The following is a 12,283-nucleotide window of genomic DNA, read 5'->3' as shown; positions in this document are numbered from 1 at the left end:
ATAAGTTTTAAAATAAGGAGTTAAGTATTCTGGCTACTAGGCCCTCCCCTTCCTGAATCCGTGGCTTTAGAGTCCTGGGATATAATAAAAGATAGCATTAACAAAGGCCATTTTTCATCCTACACATTGAATCAAACAATGTATCAGAGACAGAAAAAAACTGTCTTAAATAGTTGAAAGCTCCAAACTTTACAACTTCTCCCATCTACTATGGACATAGAGCTGCACTAGTAAGTGGCACAGTCAGGATTCAAAACAAAGAATGACTGACATGAAAGGACATGCTCACTCCACTATTACAGGCTCCTTCCAACTTCTAGGAATCTACTCAGATAACTGACTATTGAGAAAACATTTATCTCTCGCTTTAAATCTATACCCCAGCTCAGTATCTCAGTATTAGTAAATTTAAAGCCCATATACAATGTAGCCAAAGGTCAATATTCTTATGATCTTAAATATTCAAACCAAACTTTGCACTGCCAAATGCCTCACCATTAACACACCATTCTGGACCTGGTCAGAAATTCACATATATATAATGCCCACTATTTGTCAGACACTCAGTTCTTACAGATATATTATTGCATTTATCCAACATAGCAAGCCAGAGAAGGTATCTTATCACTCTCCTTCTCTTTAGTGAGAATACTAAGGTTCAAAGAGAAATTATTTAGGTAAGGTTGAACATCTGGAAGGTAACTAACAGATTTTTTCTTCATGTAAGTAAAGCAATTCATGCAATTATTCCTAGTCATAGGCATTCTGATTCTAAACCTAAATTCAACAATTTTTAAAATGGGTTGGACTTCAATAGTTATATTTTTCCAGAATGATCTATTTAAATTGTCAAAGAAGTCAATACCTGCTCCCTGTGTCCACTCTCAGCTTGCATTTAGAAGTTCCAAGATCAATATTTCTTTAAGCATCAAAATGGCCCAGAGCCAACTGGTGAGACAACAATCTTTCTTTTCCAGATTCAGCTCATCAGCATTAAGCTATGCCAACAGAGCACAAATGTACCCTGGATGCAAAGCAAAACATTCAATCCAAAACCACAGGGTTTTCATCAACATGATACCAAGTAACCAGTGCAATTGTCTCCACACCAGCCTGCTAGTCCCCCATGGAATTTTCTAGCTGCTATGACTTAAGTAAATGCAGCCTTGTGAGCTTGGACATTCAGGTGCAAACAAGCTCTGTAAATCATAAAACATGTTGCCAGCCCTCTGTAGAATAAATGGCATACTAACAAATACCAAGAGAAATTATGATGTTCCCTTCCCCTCGTGTCACTTGTCGAATGAGCCACATTACTCCTTCTAACCTCCATTCTTGTCTGCCTATCTTTCTATGTAAATCTTCTCTCTCCTGCAAGATATGAGTTTCCCAGAGTCAGCAGGGAAGATAGTTTTGTTCTAGATCACTGACCTTTTCATCAGCCTCGAGCCAGTGATAGCAGAGTCAGTATATTGCTGATCCATTTAAAGCCTGAACTTAGACAATTTTTAAAACTCAGGGAAGCAAACCAGCCCCTGGCTCTCTTTACTTTTAATCCTTTCCATCTTTTAAATTTTAAAGACTTTTATGAAATTTATACTCTTCTATTTGTATAATTTAACTAGCATAGGTATTTCTTTTATGACTATGTCTTATCATTTCTCATGAGAGTCACATTTCATATCCACAGAAACTCAACATGAAGTGGCTTCCCCAGGTTCTCTCAGCTTGTAGGTGGCAATGTCAGGGCCTGCGCTAAATCTTCCATCATCAAATCTTTTGCTTTTCCTTCTGAGGCGCAGAGGCTCAGAGACTCCCAGCCTCACTGTGTTCACACTTTGGGAGGAAAGGAAAAGACCTCTGGACTCAGGAGATCTCACTTAGCTATTCTCTGACTCCCCGTCTATTCCACCAAAAATGAGAATGGCCAGAGGATGTTCCCCTGGAGCATGTCAGTGTCCTTCAACTTTCCTCCCTGTTTCCTGTCTTGTCACTGCAGTTCACTCTTCAAGGAGTGGCCAGGACAATATTTTTAAAACATAAATACCCTTTGCTCTCCTACTCACACCTTCCAGTACTTTCACTTTGTACCTCCAATTAAACAATGAAAAGGTTTTTATTACAATTTGCAAGACCCCACATGATTTAGGCTATGTTGCCTCTTTGATTTTTATCTCAAACCACTACCTATCAGTCCCTGTATGACAGCCACACTGGCCTTTTTCACTTTCCTCAAACAAACCAAGTTCAGTTTTGCTTCATGGCATTTCCTCTTGCTGCTCCCTCTGCCTGGAATGTTCTCCCCAGTTCCTGGCTTGCCCTTGGCATTATCCAGGTCTCAGTTTGAAAGTTACTTCCACAGAGAGGCCTTCCCTCTTCCCTTTTTCCAAAAGAGCTCTACCTGCGCCCTTTACCACCACATTGACCCATCACCTGGCTTCTTTATCTTCATAGTACTTATCTGCACCCAAGATTATTCTGTTTGTTTTCTTGCTTTTCATTGATTTTTCCTCTGCTCAGTCTTCACTCCTTAACCATGCTCCATGAAAGCAGATGGTAGCTGTCTTATTGACTACTCCATCTCTACTCCCCAATATGTCCCTAAAACCTAATAACAGTATCTGGCATATAGTAGAGGCTCAAAAACTCTTCTTTAAATGATAAATAAATAAGTCACCTGTAAAAAGTCATATAAATAAAATATAGCATCATTATAAGTTCAGAGCTCCAATTTGTGACTGTTTTCCTTAATGTGGCCAATGCTTATTTTTTCATTCTTTAAAAAAGTATTATTGTCAAGCAAATTGAAAAGGAAAAGATGACATTGTGGAAAAAAAAACTCTTTTTGGATATTAAAGCACCATCCAAGTTCAAATAAACCATCTATGGAAAACCAAGCCTTGACACTGAAGCAAATGTATAAGGACGCATCTTGGTCCCAGTGCTTAGTAAACAGAATTTTGTATTGAGTTTAAGGCAATGAAACAGTGTTTTCTTTTTCTTCTTATTCCTATAAGTCAGACTTGATTAATTTAGAGCACCAATAGGTACACAGAAATTCCCTACCACAACATCTCCATCTTCTCCTTTGCTTTCTTTTTCCCAAACTTTCCATGATTCTGAATAACTTACTCCCTTGCCCCAGTCAACAGAAAAAGAGGACTTAGCTCTAGAAAGGGAAAGGTTTCCTTTCCTTCTGGAAGTGTAAAAGAAACCACTCACATTGATGTACTGAGCCACTCAAGATGATTCTGATTCAAAAGATGTTTTCTCTGTTTTAATATCCACATAGATTTGCAGTCAGGGACAGCCAACTAGTTTTCAATGATTCCCTATATTCATTGACACTTAATTTTATAATCACAATTAGGTTGTAAGCATTTTTGAGCAAGGACTATTATATGCCCCAAAGCACAGGACTTAGTGGGTATCTAATAAATACCTATTAATTAATTCCCATCAATTAATATAAATTAAGAATATTTTATTGTATTCATTTCCTTTGAAATCTCTCAGGTCTCTTATGACTATTTCATTAGGTCTACAAAGAGAAAATGAAGTACTTGCCATAAAATACTAAAGTTCAGGAAAGTTTTCTTAAATTGAATACCAACTGCTCCATATATAGCCTTTAAAATCGAATATTAATTGATGTAAGTGTGCTGACACACATTTTAATGTTTTTATTTTCAAGTTCGTTTAACACATGTTCATCTCACTTTATTTTTTGGAAAATATATTTTCTTCATGCCTGAGTTAATCTGTTCACAATTTTAATATTTAGACTCACTTAATATTTTTTGATAAGGAGTTTCTGCCTTCACACCAAATAAGCAGCTCAGAGAGTAACTCTGTCAGAAAGAAAAGGTGTAAGAATAAAGCAATGGGTTAAAGAAAAGGAAGAAACTTTCATTGACACTACTTAGAAAATATGATGATTTGTGTTATCATGCTTTAAAAAGTAATTCCTTGGGGCTCTCCTTAATCAAATCATAGAAGTTTAAGCGATGATAACAAGAGATTATTTCAGCCATCCTCTGACTTCCCAGTACTAGTCACTGAGAAATGTGATTTATTTATTCCTTTTCATCTCCACCTACCAACTTCCCTGAGGAATTTCCCCAGGTAAGGAATTTTTTCTCACTTTAAAAACATTCCCTCTCTCACCTTACTTTGCATACTTAGGACAATTTTTGAGGAGATCATTCCTTTTAGCTTGAAAAAATGCTTTTGACCCCAAATGCTTTGCTTTCCTAGCATTGCCTTTGAGCTAAGAAATAGCAAGAAGCTAAAAAAATAGATCCCTTTAACAGTAGAAGGCAGAAATTCTTCATCATGCTTCACTGTTTTCATATCTACTTGTATTTCTACTGACAGACTGAGCTTTGAAATTAACAATAACTATAGACAGAAACCTTCAAAGCTGGCTTGGGGAAATTAAATCAAATATTATTTCAATACCAGGTTGGTCTTTTAAAAATAAAATATTTTAATTAACTTGAATTCAAAACATGCTCTTCAATGATGTTTTCTTTTTGAACATTGGTAGAAAAAAATATTTTTTCTCAACTAGGTGGCATATCCAACTATATTCAGAGAATAATTACCCATTATCTTTCAATAGTATCTTTTTTTATTTTCAACATTAAATAAAGTATTCCTTTGATATTTATCCTGAAGGACAACACATAAAGTTGCCCATGTGAGAAGCATCTCAATTGCAAATCATAATCATAACTTAATTAGCAATTTATGCCCTTGTGACTCTTGATTTGGGGCTTCGTACAAAGCCCATGTTCATTTTCACTGCCCAGGGTGTCTTATTAGGATAGACAGAATGCATTTCTCTTGCAGACTTCTAGCTGTCTCAGTTTCAGCTACTCCAGAGGATATCTGTTTAACTCCTTGACATATGTCCAAGGTCCTCTCAAGAATTTGGAGTGCTCCCTAGAATACATGTCAGAAGGTCTTAAACCATATTTGTTTTGTCTGGAAGCACAGAAAAAGAGATACTTAAACTTTGTTTTATTAAAATACGTCTCATACCAGTGTGTTAAACTGCTACCATTTGTTCACAACTTTTTCATTAATTGATTTTCTCATACTTTCAGATGTACCACAGGTATGATAAGCAACCAATTCATACCCTATCTTTTAGGTCATGAGAAAGAGGAATCACTGTTTAATTTGAGATTGCTAGAATTTAGACTTAGCAATGATGAAAAAAAGTGAGCGTCCAGCACATAAGTAAAACATGGTGGGCTATTAGGAATACCAAGACTTCAATCCCATCTTGTAGAGAGGCACAAAAGAATTTGTGTTAGAACAGGTGCATATACAGGCATGAAATTTGTCTCTGGGAAGTGCAATGATGATACTCTATTCCATTCAATAAGTACTTTGCTTTCATTTTCAGCAGATGTTTTGATTACTTCTTTCAAACTATAAATCTGCTTTATGTAGAGGACATTAATAGCTAATTAATTCATTACCAATAAGTTACCATTCCCTTTTCTGGGTTCAGGCTTTGTGACTGGTAAGCTACCTAGTATCAGGTTCTTCATTATGTCATGGAATCTTTGGAGTGTTGCTTTGCCATCCAGAAACCTCTGTAGCTGGTGGTGCCTTCTTCCTGAGTATTGCTTGCGCCCGCTGGGCTCATTCCACGCACTCGGCCTGGCAGACTGTGCTTGGCTTGCAATACCAGCCCAGATCCCACACCTGCCAAGGACGAGCCAGGCGCAGAGTGGTGAGGGATGTGCGAGCAAGCAAGCGCGGGGTCCAGCCACCGCGCACAGCCAGGTATGCCGGCTGCTGCGGAGGGGTGGGCAGCTCCAGACGCCCGCACAGATGCTGGTTATATGCGAGGCTGTGGCTGGACCAGATGTACCACACACGGCTTCCCCTGTGGGCACCCATGTCTGAAGGAGGAGAATGTGGTGGCTCCTGGAAGCTTGGAGACACCAGGAACTGCTGAGCCCCAAAGAGGCTGTCACAGCCCTGGCTTGGGGAGCCTCTAGGTCTGGGCTTCCCAAAGGGCCACAGCTGTTCTCTCCTTCTCATGGACGCAGTGTGGCAATTGGAGGGTGTGTGAGTCTGTGGGGGCATGTTTCAGCCCTGTTTGTGTTACAGCTCTTTCAGTCCTGCCATTCAGCGGGTCCCAAGTTCTTGTCCTGCGTCCAGGGAGAATGAGGTGTGTGGACAACTGGAGGGTGAGCAAGGCAGAAAGGAGGTTCCCTGAGCAACAAAACAGCTCTCAGGAGACCTGAAGTGGGTGGCTCCTTTCCACAGGCAGATCATCCGGACCAGTGTCCAGCTCGGGCTCTGTCGGAACCCAGCACTACTGAGACTGCAGGGTCCTGGGGGTGCTTCCGAAATCCCGGAGAGTGCAGGGATACTTGGGTCCATAGCTGAGGCTGGGTGGCTGCAGCAGCACCAGGGAGGACGGGGCTCCCTCCCCTCTAACTTAGAAGAGGGCGGGGCTTCCACCTGTTCCCGTCTCCCATGGGCACTGTGGAGGTCGCAGCCCTGACCACGCTCCCCTGCTGCAGCTGGCATCTTTGCCGCAGCACTGCCGATGGGCTGCCACTGCCACCAATTATAATTACATAAAGAATTAGTTCAGAAGCTTCTAGTGAAGAAGACAGGTTGGTTCGATCCCCAGTTCCCTGGTTCCAAACATTTTATAAATTATATGTGCAATTTAAAAATAAACCTTTCAAATTCATGTCAAGCTCAGAAGCAAGAAAGAGAACTTTTTGTGTGGCAGAAAACTGAGAACCACAACACTGAGAATCAGGTGAAGTTGCAGAAGTCCTTGGAGATACCTGAAACTAGTACAGATGTGAGGGAGTATGATTTTAGCACTCAATCTTCAACTAGTTTTGTGGCCATTCTTGGGGGAGAGCTGGAGTTACCCTTTCTGCAAAAAACCAAAAGCCAAAAATAGGGGATGATCCTGTCTAAATCAGAAACTTCAAACAAACAAACAAACAAACAAACAAACAAACAGAAACCTCTCCCCACTTGCTCCAGGGCTTACCTTGGAAATTGACTCCCCTCGCCTGTAGTCCCAGCTACCCGAGAGGCTGAGGCAGGAGAATGGTGTGAACCTGGGAGGCGGAGCTTGCAGTGAGCCGAGATCGCGCCACTGCACTCCAGCCTGGGCGACACAGCGAGACTCCATCTCAAAAAAAAAAAAAAAAAAAAAAAAAGAAAAGAAAATTGACTCCCCTCTTGAGCTTCAGGTAAATAACAGTGATTATTATGCATGCAGAACCCCAAGCCTGCCCTGTTTTTAAGTGTGAGACCCACATTCTGTGTATTCAAGTGGTATGAAAATCCAAGAGGAGAAGCTGGTATAAAAAATGTCAGTATTGGCTGGGCGCAGTGGCTCAAGCCTGTACTCCCAGCACTTTGGGAGGCTGAGGCGAGCGGATCACGAGGTCAGGAGATCGAGACCATCCTGGCTAACACGGTGAAACCCCGTCTCTACTAAAAATACAGAACAAGTTAGCTGGGCGTAGTGGCGGTGCCTGTAGTCCCAGCTACTCCGGAGGCTGAGGCAGGAGAATGGCGTGAACCCAGGAGGCGGAACCTGCAATGAGCGGAGATCGCGCCACTGCCTGGGTGACACAGCGAGACTCCGTCTCAAAATAATAATGATAATAATAAGTCAGTATTGAAATCCTGTCCAAAGGGGGTGGTGAAAGAAGACAACTCCCACTGAAGGTGGGCATAAAACAGACAGCACTGGAAGAAACCTACCAGTGTGAGAACTGACTGGGCAATGCAACCTAGGAGAGACTTCACACCCAAAGAAATATCAATAATACTAAACATGCCGAACATGTCTGAAGAGAGAGGAAGGGACAAAAGATAGGCAGAATGTTATGAAAAAAGGACAAGTAAACTTCGAAAAGAACGAAGGGAACTTCTAGAGATGAAAAACTGTTCATAAAATCGTCAAACAGTAAGTGAGACAATTCAAAAGAGATAATCTGTTATTTGAAAGACAGATGAGAAAATTACCTCCAGTGCAGCACAGAGAAACGGAGAAGCAATAAACTGAAATAGACTGGGGGGATTTAAGATCAAATATAGTGTGAAGACAAAAAGCTAGATCAAAATCAATCACGTGGGAAAAAGACAATGAAGTTAACCTGTTAATACAAACAATCCGTTGAGGCTGCTCACTGAGGGCTCCACTTGTAGTTGAACTTGGTGGTCTCTAAAGCTGGTCACATTATTCAAACTCCAAGATCCCTCCCTGCATTGTCACTTAGCTCCTCCTGTCTACTTGCTCCCACCTTGCTCTCTCTATTTAACATTTTAGGTTCCAAATCCATGAGTTTAATTTCTTTCTTTTAAAACACAGGTGCAAATTCACCTCCCTTTAATTTGTCTTAAAACAGACTTCCCCTGACAGTTTTAAGTGCATCCTAGAAAGCAGAACTTCAGGGCTGAATTAAATTAAATGCTTGCCCTGCAATTATAATTCTCATAATACTATGATTTTTTGATTTAAAGTTGGCAAATATCTATCTTCTGTAAAGAGACTTTTAATGTTTTCATTGTAATCTGAATCAGTTTCCAAATTTCTAACTATCCGATGCGTATATTTTTCTCTAGCTGGGGAGAATCAAAATGTCTACATATGCACTGTGCTTATTTCTCTCCAAAAAGTTTCTGCGTCTGAGACACAAAACATGGAACCACATGACCACACGAGGAAGGACCCAGGCCACAGGTGTGGAGGACAAATTGAAGGAAGCCAAGAGTCAGCATTTGGAGTTTGTCAGCTGGCTTGCCAGCAGGAGGCAAGGGGCCTACAAGGGGGATGCTGATATGCCAGGAAAATCTGCATTTGAACAAAGAGAGGTTTTGGATGCTTTATAGCAACTTTATATGATACTAGACTAGTAACAGAGCAAACATTGGTATTGGTCTTAATAAACGTTTGGGAAGAAAGGTCACCATCAAAAGTTATAAGGTGTTATGCTCTTGAAAAGAAGTTATTATGACTAATATTTACTTATTATTCTCCAAGTTCATTGAAGTCTTTACCCAAATGTTATCGCAGTAGAAACACCCTCACTGAAATGGCACTCAACTCTCATCTGCCTGTGTGTTCTTACTGTCTCTTCTTTTTCTTCATTGTCCTCATTATAACTTTCTGATGTATACATTTAACAATGGTTTATCCTCTGTCTTCCTCACTAGAATGTAAGCTGCATGAGCCCAGTGACGTCTGTGTTGTTTACTGTCGTCTCTAACACTTTGGAGACATGATGTGAGGTGAGTTAATATTTGTCAATTGTGAAACATTGACGAAGGGACAGATGAACCGAAGGTCTCTTATATGTTAGATATTTTACAGATCATCTTACTTATTGAAGCTAGATCTCTGAAATACAAATAAATGATGCTGGACTTAAGCTTTCTGTATATTACTTAATGGATTTTGGCTGATGAAGGAAGGTGCAGTGAGCATGTTTTTGGATTATTCAAGGTGGGCTCCTGTGTAGGAAACTGTTCTAAAAATGAAGCCAAAACTATTCCTATCTTTTGGGAATTCACAGTCTGTTTTCAAGAGGAAAGCAATGCTGACTAAATTTTATTTTAATATACCATAAAACCATTTTTTGGCTACAAAAGTACAGACTCTAATTTGTAAGGATTAACAGTCGAACTTTGATATCCCTATACCAAGAAATTATTTCTGGAAATGGCACCATGGTATGGTGGAGCAGGCATGAATATGGAATAAGGGGGTCTGCATGGACCTGAGTAAGTCCCCCACCTTATCCTAGCTGTGTGATCTTGGAGTCATTCACTTGATGCTTTTGAACCGCCATTTTTCCTCTGGAAAATGGCAATGAGAAGGTCTATTTACATGGATGCTGTAAGGACTAGTGAAATCTCACATGTGAAGGTGGTGTAATTACTAAAAATTGATCACATCAATGAAATTCATGCTTATCCATTTGTAGTCAAAGAATAATTGAATTAACTTATGGCAGAAAGTTAAGTGAATGTTGTCCAAAAGGAAGAAGGAAAACTTTGGACCAAGAAAAACAAAAATTACTTTTGAAACTTAACATCTTTTCCTTGCATTAAAAAAGAGCCAAACACCCACCCACACATTGTCACCAAAACAAGATTGCTTTTAGGCAGATAAAAAGCCTCTCTCTTCTTGGGTCTGAGTTCAACCATGGCCTCACCTGGGCCCTTCCAAATCGAGGATTCTCCTCCTTAGAAGCCTGTTTCAGAACAAAACAGAAGGCGTCTGTTCCTAGGCTTCAGAAACACCCAATTTTGAGGAAGCTCCTTTGAACAATATCAAGGCAGACATTAAATTAACATGAATAAAAAGAGGGGTTAGGAGCATGGTTTCTACAAAGCGAGCAGCTCCTTTCACAGGTTGTTGAGAAAACCTCTCCTGTAGGTCCAAGATACCACAATCAATGCTCCCTAAAGCTTAAGAAAGTGAGATACAGACAAGGCTAAATACAAGCATATCGCACTGAATATGGGGGAAAGGTGGATGCCCGGTGGCAGAGCTTTACGGGCTTTATGGGTGTGAACAGAGCGGTGGTCACATAGGGTCCTGTCCTTGGGAGGACCAATCTGGTTTAATGCTCTGCAGTCCCAGTATTAAAATTCTTTTTTTTGTTGTTTTTTTTTTGTTTTGTTTTTGTTTTTTGTTTTTGTTTTGCTTAGCACTTTCATTTTTCTCTAGGACCTGCAAATTATGTAGCCTAATGCCCACGGGAAGCTCAATGGAGCCTCTTGCCTCCACAAAAACCACTGATTGAAAGAAACGACAGCAACTAGGAGCTCCTGTGACTCTGTTTCCATTCCCATTCCCTGGGAAATGATCAACAGCTCCGGTGTGTTCTGTTCTCTGAACCAGCCACCCCACCCTCACTGCCAGCGCAAACCTGCTCTCCTGTGACCACCTATTCTCTGAATGTTTCTACATTTAGAGAAGTTCACCCTCAGAAGAAAGAAGGAAGCCGGGCGCGGTGGCTCACGCCTGTAATCCCAGCACTTTGGGAGGCCGAGGCGGGCGGATTGCCTGAGCTCAGGAGTTCGCGACCAGCCTGGGCAACACGGTGAAACCCCGTCTCTACTAAAATACAAAAAGTTAGCCGAGCGTGGTGGCGGGCGCCTGTAGTCCCAGCTACTCGGGAGGCTGAGGCAGGAGAATCGCTTGAACCCGGGAGGCGGAGGTTGCAGTGAGCCCAGATCGCGCCACTGCACTCCAGCCCGGGCCACAGAGCGAGACTCCGTCTCAAAAAAAAAAAAAAAAAAAAAGGAAAAAGAAAGAAAACAGCAGCATTTTGTAACAGTGATGAATTTGGATGAAATTTGCAAGACCTTGGACTGTTTTCCCAAATGTCCGGGCGTCTGCCAGGCAGCCCTCAACTGCAGACACAAGCCACTAAAGGGAGTCGTGGCTCCAGGGAGCTCGAATGCTTTCCCTGGAAGATCCCCTCCCTAAGCCCCCATCTCCTGGACGTGAAACCCTGTTTAGTCTACATTCAGGAACAGCAGACGTGCTTTTCTGAGAGAATCTAGCACCTTGAGAATTTTGCCATTTGGGATGCGTGTGTATGTGCGCGCGCGCACGTTTTCGAAGCTACAATTAGCACTCTTGAAAAAGGAGAAAGGGAGCGGGAAAAGGAAAGAAAGAAAAAAAGTAGGAACTCCTGTCGATTTTAGTTCAGGCTGCCTGAAGATTCAACTTAAAATAACTGCACCATCAATGCCCCATAGAAATCACAACGGAGGTAGAAGTTTGCGCGGTTCCACACTACCATCTAGGGGATAACAGGTGAAATGACAACCTTCTACTCCCATTTGTACTGACCTTTGTTATCTTGGACATAGGCATGTAGGTCACAGAACACATCCTACGCGCTCTTCTTCCATCGGGTGGTCTCAATATCTACCGTCACTGACGTACTAAGAGGAATGGGAAATCTTCGGAGGGTTTAGCATAGAATTATGTAATTCGGCATATTAAAAAGATGACTCTGTGTACTCTGTGGAAAGTAGCCTTACGGATGGAAGGTGGAAGCCACAGAGAAAGCAGGTAAGAAACCACAGCTATGCCTCGCTTGATGACGCATCCCCAGGAATTCGTCCGTAGGCGATTTTATCCTTGTGCAAACATTACAGAGTGTACTTACACAAACAAAGATGAAGGACCCTACTACATAACCTACGCTATATGGTATCGCCTATTGCTCCTAGGCTACAAACCTGTGCAGACTGT

At 41.3% G+C, this 12,283-nt stretch overlaps 1 annotated feature.

Moving 5' to 3' along the window:
• Nucleotides 11,324–12,038: an enhancer, noted in NCBI's record as "NANOG-H3K27ac-H3K4me1 hESC enhancer chr10:54643985-54644699 (GRCh37/hg19 assembly coordinates)". NCBI's record gives its function as "activates a minimal SCP1, AML or CMV promoter by ChIP-STARR-seq in naive H9 embryonic stem cells {active_cell/tissue: H9 hESC(naive)}" and the evidence as "EXISTENCE:reporter gene assay evidence [ECO:0000049][PMID:30033119]".

This window comes from Homo sapiens, chromosome 10 (assembly GCF_000001405.40).
Source record: "Homo sapiens chromosome 10, GRCh38.p14 Primary Assembly".
Classification (NCBI taxonomy): Eukaryota; Metazoa; Chordata; class Mammalia; order Primates; family Hominidae; genus Homo; species Homo sapiens.
This window is presented reverse-complemented; position numbering and strand designations above follow the sequence as displayed.